The following is a 20,794-nucleotide window of genomic DNA, read 5'->3' as shown; positions in this document are numbered from 1 at the left end:
CCTAAAAAAAAAAATGAAGAGTCTTAGACAAATAAGGTTAGCATTTCTAGAGGAGTGGCATGAACATTTCAAATAATAAAACTTGAAGGCAGGAAAGGTCATGCCACTGTGGATATCTTTGCCTATATAAAACATTTGCCATTTTTCAAGCTTTTTCATAAACTTAGCTGAGTTAGGGGCAAATTCTTGTCCTTTTCTAGGTAAAAGGGAATGATCACATTAAAATCATAAAGAATTCCATAATATGAGTTTTCCTTTTCAGGATTATTGAAGTTTGAAATAATGAATTCCAAAATTAAGGGTGCAAATTCTTAGAAAACCAAACCAAACTAAAAATAATGGAAACAAAGAAGAAGTTTATCACACATTACAGCAAGTCAGTTCTTCATTTTAGCAATTTCATTCCCCTGAACTTTATGATTTTACATAAATTACATATCTAGTAAAAGTAAAATTATTCATCTGAGAAAGAATTGCATAAAATATGACTACTTTACTGAACTAAATGTGGATGTTCAAAGTTTGACCAGATCTTTTACTAAATTGATTAATATTTTGAAACCCTACGACTATGAAAGCTTTTCTAGGAAAAAGTTTATATAGTAAAATACTTAGTAAAAACAAACAAATAAACAAAACCTCCGACCTTTGGAATTACCAAGAAAAAGATATTCAAGATATTGGCATATCCTGTAAAACATACCTGGGAATTTAATAATGTTTTACTTCTTAGCTTATTAGCTCCACTTCAATTAACAGTGATTGAAATACACTCTACCCTTTTCTTCAATAAACTTTTAATTCATTCACAAATACAATGGGCCTCTCCCTGGAATGAGACCTTTCATTTTTTAAAAAGCCCGCTTGACCTGTAAGAGTTTTCAATTAATCAAAGAAACAAAACAAAATGTGAAATACGCACCAATGAACTTAGGCTCCTTTAGCATTCCCTTAGAATAAACATTGTCACTTATCACAGACAGTCCTACAAATCCTTGGAATTCTCATAAAGTGAAGATTCCAAAATGTAATTGCCCTCTTAACCGACAGTTAACAAATCCATTAAAAAGTTAACTGGCTACCATACCAAAAACAGAGAGAGAGAGAAATTGGAGTGAGAAGCATAAGATTTGGAAGAAGTCAGACTGCTTTGCCTCTCTATCCCTTCTGTTTATAAGAAAGGAATAGTTGTTAATGAAGATCAGACCAAGTTAGAAACCAACATCTCTTGTTTGCAGGGTCAAACAACTCATGGGCCTTTAAATATTTAAAAAACAAAACAAGTTGCACAATCAATGTTTTGCTTTAAGTAATCTACTTAAATAATCTCAGAGCTGTTTCAGATTTCATTCCTAGAAATAAAATGAAATCCAGAAACATAAATATTCATCAAACAGCTTGATATGTTTGTAACATATATATACACTAAGAAAAAATAAGCACACATACAGCTGTCTTCCTTTCAATGTTTTAAGATTATACGCACCTGAATGATTAAACTAGAAGTGTTATACATCTGTTTTGATAGAATATGAAATAAAATCTTTACATATCCTTCAAGCATTTGAGAATACTGATATAGAAATTAATAAAGAAAAGCTTCAATCTCCTCAAACATCAGTAAGTCATCATTTTAAAGGTGCTACATACTTTCCATGGAGAGTTAACAGGGGAGACAAGAAGGCTCTCTCGGACCATGGAAGCCAGTAGAATGAAAACAGAGCAAGGTGAATGAGAAACCCATGCTTGGCTCTTTTAACCACATTACTTATCACAATAATGAAATTCTATCAAAAGCAGTGGTCAGGACGATGTATTACATGGCCAAATCATGAAGCATTGTTACCATCAGTACCCAAAGGCCTCAAGATTCTGGCCACCTCACAGATCAGCTTAACATTTGTCCTACTTGGTTACTAATGCCTCTGCACGACAGCAACTATGTTTACAACATAGCAGTGCTCCTTTGTTCTAGATATACTGTCAGCATGCTTGCCATTTGAAGCAATATTTTTTAACTCATGAAGTTGACATCTTTGCTCAGTTTAGGTTTGTGGGCTGAGCCACAGGACCTTTCTTCCGGATGACCGAACACCATGCCTGTGGCTGGCCACATACGTATTTTAATCATTGTGTTCAAATAAAGCTGGGAGCACACAGATGGCTTGAGACCCGGGACCAGATGTGCCTCCTTACTCTGAAATCTCTGCTGCAGTCCTTCTCCCTTGGCTTTCAATATTAATCTTCATGCAAGTCTAACTTAGCTGTTTCAAAGATGCAAGAGTACAAAGGTGTCTTTCTCCTTTACCTTGTGCCCATCCACCTTTTAACCAAGGACTGACAGAGATGACTTCCTGCAGTGAAAGGGGGTTCAAAGTGCAAATTGCTTTCAGTGAGCTAGCATTACTTTTTTCTTTCTTTCTTTTTTCTTTTTTTTTTTTTTTTTTTTAAGACAGGGTCTCACTCTGTTGCCCAGGCTGGAGTGTAGTCTGCAAATGCGGCTCATTGTAGCTTCGACCTCCTGGGCTCAAGGGATCCTCCTGCCTCAGCTTCCCAAGTAGCTGAGGCATGACTACAGGCATGCGCCACCATGCCTGGCTAATTTTTAGAAGTTTTTTTTTTTTTGTAGAGGCCGGATGTGGTGCCTCATGCCTGTAATCCCAGCACTTTGGAATGCAGAGGTGGGTGGATCGCTTGAGCTCAGGATTTCGATACTAGCCTGAGCAACGTGGTGAAACCCCATCTCTGCCAAAAATACAAAAAATTCACCAGACTTGGTGGTGCGTGCCTGTGGTCCCAGCTATTCGGGAGGCTGAGGTGGAAGCATCGCTTGAGCCTGGGAAGCAGAGGTTGCTGTGAGCCGAGATTGTGCCACTGCATTCCAGCCTGGGGGACAGAATGGGAGCCAGTCTCAAAAAAAAATTTTTTTTTCTTTGCAGAGATGGGGTCTCACTCTGTTGCTCAGGCTTAGTATTTTAATTCACACTACAATATAAAGAATCCTTTCAGTGCCTGAAACGTTAATAGGTAGAATTTGTGCAGGCATTGTAAGAAGCGCTTCATAATTACCTCACTCACTAACCATCCCCAAGAAACTGTAATTATCCCCATTATATAGTTAGGGACAATGAGGTTTAGGGGAGGTTAAGTAACTTGTCCAAGGTTGATATAGGATAGAGCCCAGCCTCACTCATATGCTTATAATTCTTTATTTTACCACCTCTTTTACTGTTTCCCTAAATGCCACCATCTCCTGCCTCATCCTCTGTCCTGTGAGAATCATCTATGAGCTCCATTCAGAATCTTTTTACTTTACACTTCGCTCTAGAAGATCAATTTCTTTCCTTTATTTACAGGTTCTTAACCTAGGATCTAAGAAAGAACCTTTAGGAGAGGAGCCTTGGGAGAGACAAATGACTTGAAGTTGTTCATTTTCATGTGTATGAACAGAAGTGCATTTTTCAGGAAGAGGAGTTCCCACGGTTTTCATCAGGTTCTCAAGGAATCTGCGACTGCAAAATATTAAACCCGCGACTTGATTCAATTTTCAGGGCAGAGAGGTAAGAGAGAATAAATCTGCCTGGAAAGTGGATTCTTGGTGAAATCAAAGTAGCACAAGTACAATTCACCGTGAACTCCACAAATCTGTTCTGAATTTTTCTAGAGGATCTGTTGTCAAAGCTTTGCCTAGTGCCCTCAGTTTAGCTCTACACATCTCAGGTGTGATCAGGAGCATGTCAGGTATGATACAACCTGTGGCAGGTATGTGAGGAGTGGGGATGGTAGAGCACGTAGGGGTATTTTTGATGTTTCTTTGGAAAAGGGATCTTAATTTCAGACTTGACTGCGAGGGCTACAGTGCCCCTGAGGCTCCATCCTGCTCAGTAAGAAGTTGAGGGAAGTAGAAAAGATGGTGACAGTAATGGTAGAGAGTGTCTGTGAGCTACAGCCTCCTCAGATCTCTAAAGATGTATTCAATAGCCTCAGTGTTTATGATGCAGTTCACCTGGTCAAACAGGACAAAATTACACACAGCTCTCAGATGAGGCCAGACTATTTTGATCATCATTAGCATGTTACAAGAATTGAACATAAGTGAGATCTAATGAAATTTAAGGAAGGTATTCTGTGGTGGGTGAATAAGTAGGAATGATTTCAGAGAAAAACTATACTTTTCAAAACAAAAACACTCAAATGCAAGGAAAAGAAAGATCAATGACTAATGAAGGAAATCCTAGTTTTAACTACTATTCGGATTTTTATAGTTAAAATTGTTACCACTTGATCTTGTACTTTCTCATTGTTAGAAAGCACAGTTAAATTTATAAGAAAAATAATTTCCCTCCACCGGGCATGATGGCTCATGCCTGTAATCCCAGCTACTTGAGAGGCTGAGGCAGGAGGATCACTGGAGGTCAGGAGTTCAAGACCAGCCTGGGCAACAGGGTGAGCACCACCCCCTCAAAAAATAAATACACAAAAAATAATTTCTTTCTGAAAAATAGTGGCTGTTGTTCTGGGGGTGGCAATGGCAGAGAGGTGGAGAGTGGAATGAATTAGATGTGATGGTATTTTTTTCTACTTAAAGAAAAAGGACAGATCTAAGGTGGTTTAACACATGTAACTAAGGTCTGAAGGACCTGTACCCAAAATGTCAATAAACATTGCAGAACTTTACCAGAGGAGGCTATTTCTGGCAGCTGAGCTGGATCCAAGTTGCTAGTCCCAAGCAGAAGGAGATCAAATCAGGAGGAGCCAGTGTGTACAATTAAAATTCCTGGAAAAAAAGAAAGACAAAAAGGAACCAGGAGCCCATGTATGGGGTATCTTTTGTGCCTATCTGTAGGGCAGGCAACATGGAGCAGGAAGTTAAACTGAAAGGTAGATCTTGGTTACAAGCTGAAAAGAATCTCCAGGACTAAGCTAATGAAGATGTAACCACCCAGTGGGTTCATTTTGCTTGCTGCCCAGACAGAGCCCATTTATTAAGACAGGGGAATTGCAATAGAGAAAGAGTAATTCACTCAGAGCTAGCTAAAAAGAGACTGGAGTTTTATTATTACTCAAATCAGTCTCCTTGAAAATTTGGAAACTAGAGTTTTTCAAGGATAATTTGGAAGGTAGGGGACCTGGGAGTGGGGAAATGATGATTGGTTGGGTTGGAGACGAAATCACAGGGAAGCTGTCCTCTTGAACTGAATCAGTTCCTGGGTGGGGGTCACAAGGCCGGTTGTCAAGTTTGAGTGGAGTCATCTGCCATCAGAAATGCAAAAACCTGAAAAGATGTCTCAGGCCGGGTGTGGTGGCTCACGCCTGTAATCCCAGCACTTTAGGAGGCCGAGGCGGGTGGATCACAAGGTCAGGAGATCGAAACCACCCTGGCTAACATGGTGGAACCCCGTCTCTACAAAAAATTAGCTGGGCGTGCTGGTGGGCACCTGTAGTCCCAGCTACTCGGCAGGCTGAGGCAGGAGAATGGCGTGAACCCAGGAGGCAGAGCTTGCAGTGAGCCGAGATCGCACCACTGCACTCCATTCTGGGTGACAGAGTGAGACTCTGCCTCAAAAAAAAAAAAAAAGAAAAGACATCTCAAAAGGCCAACCTTAGGTTCTACAAATAGTGATGTTATCCACAGGAGTAATTGGGGAATTTGCAAATCTTGTGGCCTCTGGAATAATTGTTGGTAATTATTTCACTACACCTACATATTAGTAGAATTCAGGCCCCTCTTATCTTCTTAGCTTAGTGGACTTTCATTAGTTTTACAAGGGCAGTGTAGCTTGGGGGAAGGACTATTATCATTTAACTATAAACTGAATTTCTCCCAAAGTTAGCTTGGCCAATGCTCAGGAATGATGGAAGACAGCCAGGAGTTGAGGCTAGAAGCAAGATGGAGTCCGCCATGTCAGATTTCTCTTACTGTCATAATTTTGCAAAGGTGGTTTCAAAGATATGTAGCACATGAGAGATATTATACTACAAGTTACTTTTAAACCTTGGCTGGGGCAACAAGACAACAGGAAACTGTAGTTTTAGCCCTTGGTTATATATGGTTTACATTACCAAATTCTCTGTGCACACAAAAGTCATACAAACTCATGGTAAAATGTGTTTTCTAGTGTGTACAAAACTATACAGAATTATATAACCTCTGGATACAATCTGTAACCTAAAAGTCTACATGACTCTTCCCATAATCCAAGTAATTTTCCCAGAGGCAACCAGTGTTAATAATTTTATGTGATGGGTGAATTTATGAAATTGTGCACCACACACATACACATATGCACACGATTTTTTTTCAGATCCATGTATGTATCTTATGACTCAAAGTGTATCGCCGTCTCCTCACCTTTTCAATTCATAATAGATCTGCTTCATTCAACTAAAGGCTGCACATTATTTTGAAGTATCAAATACTGTAATTTATCCCATCCTATCTTTAGCAGAAACCTCTCAGAGGCCATTCATTCATTCATTGGATTTTGGACATCACTATCAACATGGCCCCATGTCAAACATCTGATTATGAAGATGTAAGTTACATATACTTTATGCTCAAGGCTTAAAATCAAACAAAGCAGATAAGATTTAATTGTATTAGTATAGTTGTGAAATGTAAGGCAGTTTAAAGCCACCTTAAATTCTTTCTGCTCTAAAGCAGAAAGTGTTAGTAGGAAAGGAGTAAATAAACAAATAAATAACCAATTTGCAGCACCAGATAAATGTTTCCTGGGGAGCGTAAACAAAGAGTCACAGGAGTTTAGAGGCACTGGAGCTGGTTTCCAGCGGGGCTTCCCTGCCCCTGCCCTGCAGCACCACCAGATCAATCTTCCTGCCACAGCGCTTTGATCATGTCACCGCTCTACTCAGAAAACTTCCATGACCCTCTGTGGCCTGGCGTCTTTTCCCATCTGCTATGGAAGGTATTTCATCCATGTTATTTCATCCATGACACTGTCCCATTAGAATTGTGACATGGTTGAAAGCCCTGGAGTTGTTATTACCAGACCTGTGTGTGAATTCTGCTTCTGTTACTTTTTAGCTGAGTGAGCTGGGGCAATCCTTGTAACTTTCCCAGATTTAGCTTCTTCATTTGTCAACTGTTGATATTGTCCATATCATGGGTTTGGCATAAAATTAAATGAGATAATATGGGTGAAAGTTCTTTGTTAACTGTAAAGTGTCTTGTGAGCACATGCACATATGATATACACCTTTACAAAGGCACTCAGTAATCACCTATTTATAAATATGGCTAGTGCTTTCCTGTAAAATATGCCTGTAAGTCATTATACACCGCCGCCCACCTTGGAGTGGGATATTTGTTTTGGGACTCTGAGGGATGAAAGGAATTTGAGAAGAAAATGGGAGAAAGGCATTTCAGTCTCACAGAGTGGCATGAGAATATGTTAAGAGGTTTTAAGGCCTACAGTGTATTTGGGGAACAGCAAATCATCTGCTTTGCTCAAGTGCAAGGTATACCCAGAGAAAAATCTGGAGCTCACCTTGGAAAGAACTGGAATCAAATGTGAAGGCTCCCAAAGGCTGGGCCAGGAGGTCTGCGCTCAGGCAATAGGAGTCATGGGAGGTTTTTGAGCAGAGAAATAATTTCTCAGTCTTCTAAGGGATGGATTGATAGGAAGATGGTTAGAGGTGAAGAGGGTGCCTGGGAGGCTGTGGCTAGGGCAGGTGTCAAAAGATCAGTTGCTGAGGCCACATTCTGACCAAGGAAATGGAAAGGCATAAAGATAAGTTAGTGAGATTGTTGTGAAATCATTGGCTGGATTTTTGTGTGTGTGTGTGGTCCATGACTGAACCCTGGGGAAGAGGAATAAAGACAGATCGAAGAGGTTTTAAGCTTGATGGTGATCTTGGGTTGGAGAAAATTAGCCTATTGAGGACCAGAGAACATGAAGGTGATGTGTGTGTGGGGTTATTTATTTGCCTGGGATGTGGTGGTAATGGAAGAGAAAATAGAAAATGTAGCCAGCAGTGATACCTGAACTAGCTAGGGAGGCAGCAGCCTAGGGGTGGGACAGTGCCTCCAGTTGCTCACAAACCTCACTGATTCCAAAGCTGGACTGAGACATTCTCTAGGAATACAAAGTGCACCCAGAAAATTAATAGTAAAAACTAGACTTGGGGAAAGTCTGAAATTTTTTTTTTTTTTTTTTTTTTTTTTTGAGATGGAGTCTTGCTCTCTCGCCCAGACTGGAGTGCAGTGGCGAGATCCCGGCTCACTGCAAGCTCTGCCTCCTGGGTTCACACCATTCTCCTGCCTCAGCCTCCCCAGTAGCTGGGACTACAGGCACCCGTCACCATGCCTGGCTAACATTTTTTGGTATTTTTAGTAGAGACGGGGTTTCACCGTGTTAGCCAGGATGGTCTCGATCTTCTGACCTCGTGATCCGCCCACCTTGGCCTCCCAAAGTGCTGGGATTACAGGCATGAAATCTTAAGGGAACAGTTTTCAATAACCCACTTATTGGAAACAACAGACTTGTTAATTATAATTTATTCTCAAATTCCTTTTCAATTCATGAGTTTCCTTCAAAGGATTTGGCTTAGTAACTTTGTTAGCCACGTTTCAATGACCATATAGCCTGAAAAGGGATCCAGATGTGTTTCTTTACAAATAGTCTTCAATTCATTTAACCAGTTCAAACTCACTTTGATTTCTAATATGTTTGAATAAATAAGGCTGTGCTGCAAAGCTAATCTGTTTCCTGAGGATTTGAGAAATAACTTGGAAATCAACTATAAAGCACTATTCTCAGGAAAAACCCAATACTTTGCAGCCAGATGTCTGTCAAGGCCCTATAACTGAGAAAAAGCCTTCACTGGAATTATTCACCAAAGGAAATAAGAATTTCTCCCAATTGTCAAAACTAATAAAAACTTCTTTATGTGGGTTTGCTCCATTTCATCTTATGATCTACTATTACCTATACTGAAAGCAGTAACAAAATATAGTTCACTGTAAAAATAAAAGTAATTTGAGTATAAATGAGAACTTGTAATGGAAATAGATTCTCACATAGGGACAATAACTGGCATCGGGAAACTCAGTGGTATAAATCCCAGACTTAAAAAATATACAATTTTATATTGTCTTATTTATTACAAATTTGTACACAGTTTAAGAGAAGTATTTTAAAGGACTTAGATTTTTGTTGCAACCTTTAAAGTTAAAATTATATCGTTGAACCTTCTTGAAAAGTTACCAAGATAATTATAAATAACAGTTCAAAAATCTTAATACATTATACAATTGGGAGTGGTTATTAGATTCAAAAGCAGCGAGCATCTGTTGAGGGTAGGAAAAGCACTTTGGAAAAAATCCCTCCACACATGTAATGGAGTGTCAAGAAATTGATAGTCTTTTTGACCGGTTCATTTTCTAGCACCCACGGAGACTAATACCTGTCTTTTTTTTTTTAAGAAAAAGGAAAAAAAAATGTTCTCTGTAGAAGCCTAGTGAGGCCTGCTGAGGATATAGAAACATTGGAATGAGTGTGTGGCAAACGAATAAGAGCCATAGAGGTCTCTATCCTTATTCCATATGGTCTGAAGTGAGTCTGATGGGATTTCAGATTGTGACCAGAGATAGCAGAGGACTGTCCAAAGCTCCTGAATGAAAACTTCAGACTTCTGAATCAAAACCTCAAATTCAGGTCAAGTTTGCTGAGAAGTTTTTGCTGAGGCTCATGAACCTCTCCGTGACCTGCCTCAAGTCCTACACTAGATAAGGGAACATTTCAAATAAACCTGAGATGAATTATGGCTTAAGGTGGAAATCAAGTGAAATCCAGTTTCATCTGTGTTTCAGTTTAAATTTAGAATGAGGATCCACATAAACCAGAAATGTGTGCCATCTCCCAGCCTCTCATGAACCTCACAGAAACAGAAAACACTAAAGCTAATGAATGGCAGCTCAAGGTAATGAGCTTTTTTTAACAGACATGCTTTCAATGTACACAAACATGTAAATCAGCAGCTACATTGCTTCATTGAAATGTAGGCTTCAGGATTCTGAACCTATGGGTATCTGACATAGTACCTCATCCTATCCTGAAATAATTGCTGGTAGCTTGGAACAAAGCTAAGCATGCTGGGTAGTTACTCTTTATAACCCTCTGGCTGGCAGGATGCACAGACTGTCATTGCATGGATAGAGAAATCAAGGGGGCCAAGATCATGTGTTACTGATTGTAAGGCCCAGGGTCACATAACCACATAGGGAATTTAAGCATGGTAAATGAGTAAAGGCTGCCTATTCCTTGGCCCTCACCCTGTCTGCCCTGCCTATGCTGTCTCTTTAAAAAAATGAAGATGATATGATTTTATAACCATTAACAATGTATTGAGTCCCCCAGAGAAGGAAGGACTAAATTTGGGGAGGAGACTGGCTGTTGGAAAGATAATTTCCCCTGGAGAGGCAAGAGAAGCCTTAGCTCTGGCACAGAAACGGGAGGGAAGCAGAGTAGGGGAAGGCCACCGTGGGGCAGAGGAAACTCAGAAGAGCTCAGTGAGCATCAGCCACTGTGTGTGTTGTATGTGCATGTACACAAGCGTGCATACGTGCATGTGTGCATAGCAAGTTTGAAGACAGGAAAGCTCCCACATTGCTGAGACAGAGATAGGGAGAGAATGAATTATAGCAGCTGTAACAACTGCCCTCAGTACAGTTCAGGAGTCACTTGAGATTTCGTTGTGGATGGAAAGGGAGTTGGAGGAAATTGGGGTTTCAGCAGTGGCACAACTGCTGGTCCCTGAAATCAGCCACAGATCCTTATTTCATTGCCCTCATGTCACATGTATGCTTAGCTTTTTACCCCCTCATGCTAAGTGGCTTGGCCAACACCCAGAGCCTATTTGCAATATGCACCCCTCTCTCCCACCTACCCAGTACTTTATGTTTCATTAAGACAAGATTTGTGAGAATTTGAACATGGGCAGGGCTAGAGACTAGCTTGTATGATTTAAGAATTACTGTATAATAAGGCTGTAGATCAAATGCTTACATGTGAAGGAAGTGTTAAGTATCGCAGAAATATAGACAAATATTTGATACTTTTATTAAATTCTTTCCTACTTGCAGATCTCTTAAGGCCTTTTTTTGAATAAAACAGTCTTGCCAATTCTAAATAGAATGTGTGCTTGAAAAACATGGAAATATTTTACCTGTTTGGAGATGACTCCTCACTTTACACTCTTTCTCCTCCCTTCTTTTCTTATGCCTTTCCCTTTCCTCTGCCCTAAATGAAGTTGTCCAATTTGGGAAGTTTTTTTTTCCTTGTTTCAATCCATAAAACATACTGCCGTTTGCTGACTTTTGGGTTTCATTTTGCATTCCTGTATAAATAATTAATTAAACCATGTCTCCAATGTATAAGAACTTCAATGAAATCAACAAATTGATCTTGCTTCAATATAAAGGTAGAGGCAGGTTCTCATATATCTATTTTCAGGTGGGTGGCTTAGATTCCCTTTCACTTTAGCGGAATACTCCTAATACTGTCTAATGTGTTCGAACTCTAGAGTGGGGAGACAAACAAAGGAACTTGATTTATCTTAAGGTAGGTTAATTTCTGTAAGAATGAATCATTATAAATTAGAAATGGATTGAAATAAAATGAAAACTGGGTGCTAATTTAAACATAGGCTCATGTTGCATGAGACAGCTGCTGAAGACCTTTAAATGGTCCAGCACGTCCCTTAAAAACATTGAGATCTGCCTACAAACACTGCCTGAGTCTTTGCAGAGCACTGTGTGGGTAATCTTGAGAAGACACTAACACTCAGGCTTGGAATAACCCCAGCCTTAATCCCTAGCCTTCTACCTCATTCCCACTATTTTCTTGTATTGGGCCATTCTCATATTGCCATAAAGAAATACCTGAGACTGGATAATTCATGAAGAAAAGAGGTTTAATTGGCTCATGGTTTTATAGGCTGTACAGGAAGCATCTTGCTGGCATCTTCTTGGCTTCTGGTGAGGCCTTAGGAAACTTACAATCATGGCGGAAGGTGAAGGGGGAACAAGAACATCACATGGTCAGAGCAGGAGCAAGGGAGAGAGGGGGAAGTGCCACACACTTTTAAATGACCAGATCTCACAGGAACTCACTTACTATCATGAGAATAGCACCAAGAGGGATGGTGCTGAACCATTCATGAGGGTTCTGCCCCATGATCCAGTAACCTCCTACCAGGCCCTACCTCCAACATTGGGGATTACGTTTCAATGAGATTTGGGAAGAGACACACACCTAAACTATATCATCCCTGCATGCAGTGGAAATTGAATAAAGGCTATATCGTCAATTCTAGAATGTGCTTCCTCTTTCCCATTTTAACTTCTCTGAAATTGTATAGTCAATGACATCTTCCAATCACTGTTGGGCAGGTGGAAGTCCTGACACAATTGTCATTGCTTCTGTTCACACAACCTGGAATTATGCTGATGCTCTGTAAGCATGACTGGATCACTGCAACCCTTCAACATTTTAGTCAGAAAACAGTTAAAAGATAATTTGAGGAAGAAATATAAATTCTGGCTTTTGTCTGAAAACCTTCCCTTGAGGTCTGGTGGGATCAAGGAATTACAGCATTTGCAGAAACAGATGGCTAGGAGTTGAAAGACATTCCCACAGAAAACAGTGGAGCACTATTGTGCTGCAAATACAACATTTTTGATAGCACAGAGAACAATATTGTGTGGGTTGAAAATCCTGAATCAGGAGTGACGCCACCAACATGGTGCAATAGAAGCTCCTGACTCTCCTACCACCCATAGATCCATCAAATAAACATCCATTCACAGATAAATTCCCTCTGAGAGAAAATCAGAGACCAACTGAGAGACTCCTACCCACCATGCAACTAAGGAAACATCCACACTGAAGGGGTAGGAAAAGCTGAGGCACACTTAGGCATGAACCCCACACCAGCCGGGCTCTGCTCCATAAATTGGGAAAGAAATCTCAAACAACCAGTTTCCCTCCGAGGAAAGGAGGATCTGGACCTCACATACAGGACTGTAATGCTGTTTCCCCACAGTTTGACTCAATTCACCAACTATGGGAGTGGAAGGGATTAGACACGTGCTAGTTCTCTCTAGACTACATGAAAAAAAGTGGTGGTTTTATAAGAGTGAGTCTGCTCTTCCAAGGACTACATCCCTCTGGGAGCAGTGCAGAGTAGGAGCTTAAAAAACCATAGCCCTCACTGGGCACAGTGGCTCACACCTGTAATCCCAGCACTTTGGGAGGCTGAGGCAGGTGGATCACTCAAGGTCAGGAGTTTGAGACCTGCCTGACCAACATGGTGAAACCCCATCTCTACTAAAAATATAAAAGCTGGCCGGGCGTGGTGGTGCATGCCTATAGTCCCAGCTACTCGGGAGGCTGAGGCAGAAGAATCCCTTTAACCTCAGAGGCGGAGGTTGCAGTGAGCCGAGATTGAGCCACTGCCCTCCAGCCTGGACGATAGAGCGAGACTCTGTCTCAAAACAAAAAAACAAACCATAGCCCTCTGTTTCAGCCTAGAAGGGGTATAAAAAACATTTCTTTATAAAAAGTATTTCTCTAGTGGCTGTATAGTGACCTGGCTTCTAACTAACTTGCATCAGGGAGTTAAACAGACAGTCAATTTTTTTTTTCTTTTTTTGAGACAGGTTCTTTCTCTGTCGCCCAAGCTGGAGTGCAGTGGTACAATCTGGGCCCACTGCAGCCTCAACTTCCTGGGCTCATGCGATTCCCCTGCCTTGGCTTCTCAAGTAGCTGGGACCATAGGCACACACTACCACACTGCTAAATTTTTTTTATTTTCAGTAGAGACGAGGAGGTCTTGCTATGTTGCCCAGGCTGGTCTTGAACTCCTGTGCTCAAGCAATCCTCCAGCTTTGGCCTCTCAAAGTGCTGGGATTACAGGCGTGAGCCACCCCTTCTAGCCTTAGACAGTCAATTTTTAACCCACCACCAGTCTGGGAGGAGTTTTGCACTCACCCCAAGGACCCTAACTCTTACAATATCCACTTAAGGGACTGCATTCTAAATCTCTTAGCTCAGGGAGCTGAACGACTGGCATACACGTGTTTTTCTAAACTGCAGGGGGAAAATAAAAGGTTGTTTTATATGGGCATGCAAGCTCTTTAAAGGATTCCACACCCCTGGGAATAATGCCATTAAGGAACTTAAAAACACAGCCATTTCCCTCTGGAAGGGGTTTATGAAACACCCCTCCAGAGGCTGCTTGGTGGTCTGACTTCTAACTTGTATTGGGGAGTTAAATGGATAGTTAGTTATTAACCTGCTGTCAGCCTGGGAAAAATGTGCACTCACACTGAGATCCCTAACTTTTATACTATCCACCTAAGAAATGGCATCCTAAATCTCCAAACTGAAAGAAGAGACTGGCATACACATCTCTCCAGACTGCAGGGAAAAAGTCACATTTTAAAATGGGAGTACAATCACTTCCAGCGTCTTTATCCCCCTAGAGTGGTACAGAGAAAGGGCTTTAAAAACTCAACCCGGGTCAGGTGCAGTGGCTCACGCCTGTAATCCCAGCACTTTGGGAGGCCGAGGCGGGTGGATCACTTGAGGTCAGGAGTTAGAGACCAGCATGGCCAACATAGTAAAACTTCGTCTCTACCAAAAATATAAAAATTAGCTGGGCTTGGTGGCGCATGCCTATAGTTCCAGCTGCTCTGGAGGCTAAGGCAGGAGAATTGCTTGAATCTGGGAGGCAGAGGTTGCAGTGAGCTGAGATCACACCACTGCACTCCAGTCTGGGTGAGAATAAGACCCTGTCTCAAAAAATAAATAATAAATAATAAATAATAAATTAAAAAATAAATAAAACTCTGTCCCATGCAGTGTCTCACGCCTGTAATCCCAGCATTTTGGGAGCTGAGGTGGGCGGATCACCTGAGGTCAGGAGTTTGAGACCAGCCTAACCAACATGGTGAAACCCCATCTCTACTAAAAATACAAAAATTAGCCGGGCGTGCTGGCTCATTCCTGTAATCCCAGCTACTTGGGAGGCTGAGGCAGGAGAATCACTTGAATGGGGGAGGCAGAGTTGCAGTGAGCCTAGATTGTGCCACTGCCCTCCAGCCTGGGCGACAGAGCAAGACTCCGACTCAAAAAAATAAAAAATAAATAAATAAATAAATACAACGCAACCCCTTGTTTCTCTCCAGAAGGGATTTAAGACACACATCAAAAGCCCCAATAGTTTTTTTTTTGTCTTTATTTTTTCTTCCTTTTTGTGGAGAATGGGGTCTCACTATATTGCCCAGGCAGGTCTCGAACTCCTGGGCTCAAGCTATCCTCCCACCTCTGCCTCCCTGAGAGCTGGGATTATAGGCATGAACCACCGCACCTGGCAAAAGCCCCAATTGTTAAGCTACCTCCTGAAAGACTCCTTCTTAAACCTAGTAAATATGGGAACAGAAGGGACTAGTCATATCCAAGTCTCCCTTGATCACAGAACAAACCAATGGTTTTAAACAGGTGTCCAACCACTTCTAGAGGTTATACTCCTTTGGAACAGTGCAGAAAAAGGTTCAGAATGTGCAGCTCTAACTTTCTCTCTGGAAGGAATGTGTAACACACATTCCCAGTGGCTACTTGGTCAACTGGTCTCCAGTGAACATGCATCAGGGAGCTAATGGATCAAACAAACAACAACCCTTTAGTAGCCAGAGCCAGAGCTTGATATTTCACAAGACCTCCCCTGGCTCACCCCAGAGATAAATCTGTGCCTGTATATTCTTCCTAGAAAGAGTTCAACCATGCACCAAATCTCACAACTCCCACAGCTCCCATCTAAGAGACTGTCTGCTTAACAACCTAGCCATGGAAATTGAGAGTGCTTTGTAATTTTGAGTGACTCAAGATTATAGAAATCAAACAGGTAGATGTATAACAGGCACACTCCTAGCAGCTATCCCTCCAGGATCAGAAGGTGCAGCCTGAATTGTGAGTACAGCATTTTCCACAGATCCTCTTCCCAGCTTAATGCAGAGAGATAAACACCTTCACCCAGCCCCATCATGAAGATAGAAAGAACTGAAAGACACATCCAACACACCAACCTTTTCAGCTACAACTAAAAAGCCTGGCTTCTATCATACTAGTCTCAGGGTACTGATGACTTGGCATATCCTAAGCTCTAGAAGCCACCAAAAACAGAGATAGCACCCTGGACAAACACAGATTTGAGAGGCACCTTAAAAAACTTTGACTGCGGCCGGGTACAGTGGCTCATGCCTGTAATCCCAGCACTTTGGGAGGCCGAGGTGGGTGGATCACGAGGTCAAGAGATCGAGACCACCCTGGCCAACATGGTGAAACCCTGTCTTTACTAAAAAAAATACAAAAATTAGCTAATTAGCTGGGTGTGGTGGCACGCACCTGTAGTCCCAGCTACTCGGGAGGCTGAGGCAGAAGAACCCAGGAGGCTGAGGTTGCAGTGAGCCTAGATTGTGCCACTGCACTCCAGCCTGGTGACAGGGCGAGACTCCATCTCAAAAAAAAAAAAAATCTTTGGCTGCATATATTGGTGAAAACCTTCTACACAAGGCTAGTCTAACAAGGTGAAGAGAGGTAGTTATCTTATTTAATGTACAGAAACTAACACAGAGAGTCAAGAAAAATGAAGAAATGGGGGAATATATTCCAAACAAAAGAATAAAATAAACCTCCAGAAACTGACTCAAATTAAATGAAATTCTGTGATTTAACTAACAGGAAATTAAAGATAATAGTCATAAAGATGCTAAAGGAGGTCAAGACAGCAATGCAAGAATAAGCTGAGACCTTCAACAAAAACAGTACCAAAAGAAAACAGTAGATATGAAGAATGCTATAACTAAACTGAAAAAGTTGGCAGAGGAGTCCAACAATAGTCTAGATCAAGCAGAAGAAAGGGTCCTTTATTTTAAGACATATCTCTAGAAATCCCCCATTCTGAGGAGAAAAACAATGGAAAAAACATGAATATAGCTTAAGAGACTTACGAGAAACTATCATACGGAACAACTTACACGGTATTGACATGCCAGAAGGAAGAAAAAGAGAGGAAAGGACAGAAAATATAATCAAAGAAATAATGGCGGAAAACTTCTCAAGTCTGGAAAAGTAATTAGGAAACCACATTTAGGAAGCTGAAAGCACACCAAGTAAGATCCCAAAGAGACTCACACCACTATACATCATAGTCAAATTGTCAAAAGTTAAAGACAAAGAGGGAATATTGAAAGCAGAAAGAGAAAAGTAAATTGTCACATATAGGGGAATTCTCATAAGACTATCCGCATCCTTCTCAGCAGAAGCCTTGCAATGTAGAAGGGAGTAGGAGCATATATTCAAAATCCTGAAAGAAAAAGCCTTCAACCAAGAATACTATACCCAGCAATGCTGTCTTTCAAAAATACAGGGGTGAAAAAGACTTTCTTAGACAAACAATAGCTGAGAGAATTTATCACCACAGGACCTGTATTATAAAACATTCTAAAGGAAGTTCTCTAAGCAGAAGGAAGAGGATGCTAATGAGTCACATAAAAATATGTGAAATTATACAACTCACTCAAATTCAAAACACTCTGATACTGCAACAATGGTGGCTAAATCAATAATATCTCAGTATAAAGGTCAAAAGGCAAAACTATTAAAAAATAACTAAAGCTACAGCAATTTTCTAAGGGATACATATTTTAAAAATATAGAAACTATGACATTAAAAACATAAAACATGGGAGGAAGGGAAGTAAAAGTAGAGTGTGTATGCAATCAAAATTTAGCTATTATCTGCTTAAATTAACCTGTTATAAGATATTTTACGTGAGCCTCAGGGTAACTACAAAGCAAAAACAAGCCTAAAATTGATACATGAAAGATATAAAGAAAAGAACCAAGGCATACCACTAACAAAGATATCAAACCATAAATAAAGCAAGCAAGAGAGGGAGAAAGGAACAAAGAATCAACAAAACAAATAGAGACAACTAACGAAATGATAGGATTGAGCACATACCTATCAGTAATTACCTTGAATATAAATTGATTAAATTTTCTAATGAAAAGATATAGAGTGGCTGAATAAATAAAAAAAACAAGACCCAACTCTATGCTACCTACAAAAGACTTACCTTACCGTAAGGACACACATAGACTGAAAATGAAAGGATGGAAAAAAATATTTCATGAAAATGGAAATCAAAAGAGAGCAGGAGTAACTATACTTACATCAGATAAAACAGACTTTAAGTCAAAAACTGTAAAAAGAGACAAGATAATTCTATAACGGTAAAGAAGACTATTCAGCAAGAGGATATAATGATTATAAATATATATGCACCCAAAACTAGAGTATCTAAATTTATAAAGCAACTATTAGTACATCAAAAGAAAAAGATATACTGCCATATATTAATAGTAGGGGACTTCAAAACTCTACATTCAGCAATGGACAGATTATCCAATCAGAAAATCAACACAGAAACCTCAGAGTTAAACTAAATTCTAGACTAAATAGACCTAACATTTATAGAACATTTCATCCAACAGTTGCAGAATACACCTTCTTCTCATCAGCAAATGGACCATTTTCTAAAATAAACCATCTGTTAGGCTAAAAATAAGTCTCAATAACTGTTTTATTCTTTTCTTAGAGGTGAGGTCTTGCTATGTTGCTTAGGCTGACCTCAAAACTCCAGGGCTCAATCTATCCTCCTGCCACAGTCTCCGGTAGTCTGCCGTAGCTGGGAGGACAGGTACATGCCAGCACATCTGGCTTTCAATACGTTTAAAAAAAATCAAAATAATATAAAATATCTTTTTTTTCACTACAATGGAATAAAACTAGAGATCAATAACAAGAGGAACTTTGGAAACTGTATAAATACATGGAAATGTAACAACATGCTCCTAAATGATCAATGGGTCAATGAAGACATTTAGAAGAAAATTAACCCTTTTCCCATTTGTGGGGAGAATTCTTGCCCATCGCACTTGCAGTTGCATTGTTTACCCCAAGATAACGCTGCCACAAAATATCTCACTTTTATTATTATTTTCACATATATCAACTTTGGAAACAAAGTCATTATTCTATTTATAGCATTCTGTTTTTAGTAGTGGTTTTACATTTACAAAATATAGTGGTTCTCAATCACTGAAAATGTCAAATCCTAGGAAACGTAGCATTCCTATGTGATGCTAACATAGTTCTTGAACAGTTGTTGGCCAAAGATTCATTTGATGAATCCAAGTTTTTGAAAATAGATGATTCTGATGATCCTGACGATTCTGATGTTAGTTCTGTTTAGAAATAACTCTAAGAACAGTTTTTACATTTTATTTTTACATTGAAAAATCAGTCAAATTTGCTTTGGCCTCAAAGAGCATGTTTATGTAAAATTAAATGAATGCTAGCCGTGAGCTGCACTTTTTTTTTTTTCTAAACGGGAAAAGGGTTAAAATTTTTGAAACAAATGAAAATGGAAACACAATATACCAAAATCTATGGGATACAGCAAAAGCAGTATTAAGATGGAAGTTTATACCAAAAACTGCCTACACCAAAAAAATAAATAAATAAATAAATAAATAAATAAATAAATAAAAAAGATTTCAAAAAACCTAACAATGCACCTCAGGGAACTAGAAAAGCAAGAACAAACCAAGAAAAAAGCATTTGATAAAATTCAACATTCTTTCATAAAAAAACTTTCAACAAATTAGGTATAGAAGAAATGTAACAACGACGCCACATGTGACAATGCACATTAACATCATACCGAATGGGGGAAAGTTGAAAGAATTTCTTCTAAGACATGGAACAAGATTAGGATGCCCACTTTCACCACTGTTATTCAACATAATACTGAAAGTCCTAGCCAGAGCAATTAAGCAAGAGAAAGAAATTAAAGGCATCCAAATTGGAAAGGAGGAAGGCAGATTGTCCCTGTTTGCAAACAGCAAGATCTTATATTTAGAAAAACTTAAAGACTCCACTGAAAAACTGTTAGAACTGATAGATTCAGAAAAGTTGCAGGATACAAAATCTACAAAATCAACATACAAATGCGGTAGTTTTTTTTTTTTTCTGTGTGTGTCTGTGTGTAGTGTGTGTGGGTGTGTGTGTGACTGAGTTTTGCTCTTGTTGCCCAGGCTGGAGTGCAACGGCGCGATCTCGGCTCACCACAACCTCTGCCTCCCAGGTTCAAGCTATTCTCCTGCCTCAGCCTCCCGAGTAGCTGGGACTACAGGCATGTGCCACCACACCCGGCTAATTTTGTATTTTTAGTAGAGACAGGGTTTCGCCATGTTGGTCAGGCAGGTCTCAAACTCCCGACCTCAGGTGATCCGCCCACCTTGGCCTCCCAAAGTGCTGGGATTACAGGCATGAGCCACTGTGCCTGGCCCAAATGCAGTAGTGTTTCTATACACCAATAGCAAATAATCTGAAAAAGAAATCAAGAAAACAATCCCATTTACAGTAGCTACAAAAAACAGTACCTAGGAATAATTTTAACCAAGGAGATGAAAGATCTCTACAATGAAAACTATAGTACATTAGTGAAATAAATTGAAGAGAATGCACATACACACACACACACACACACACACACACACACACACAATGGAAAGATATCCATGTTCATGGATTTAAAGAATTAATATCCTTAAAATGTTGACACTACTGAAAGTGATCTACAGATTTAATGCTATTCATGTCAAAATACCAATGACATTCTTCACTGAAATAGAAAAAGCAA

The 20,794-nt window shown here is 40.0% G+C and overlaps 1 annotated feature.

The window, feature by feature from the left end:
- Positions 2,535-2,829: a silencer, noted in NCBI's record as "tiled region #9176; K562 Repressive non-DNase unmatched - State 22:ReprW". NCBI's record gives its function as "represses a minimal TATA promoter and a strong SV40 promoter by Sharpr-MPRA in K562 cells {active_cell/tissue: K562}" and the evidence as "EXISTENCE:reporter gene assay evidence [ECO:0000049][PMID:27701403]".

Source organism: Homo sapiens, chromosome 12 (assembly GCF_000001405.40).
Source record: "Homo sapiens chromosome 12, GRCh38.p14 Primary Assembly".
NCBI lineage: Eukaryota > Metazoa > Chordata > Mammalia > Primates > Hominidae > Homo > Homo sapiens.
Note: the sequence above shows the minus strand (reverse complement) of the source record. Positions and strands in the feature narration are given on the sequence as shown.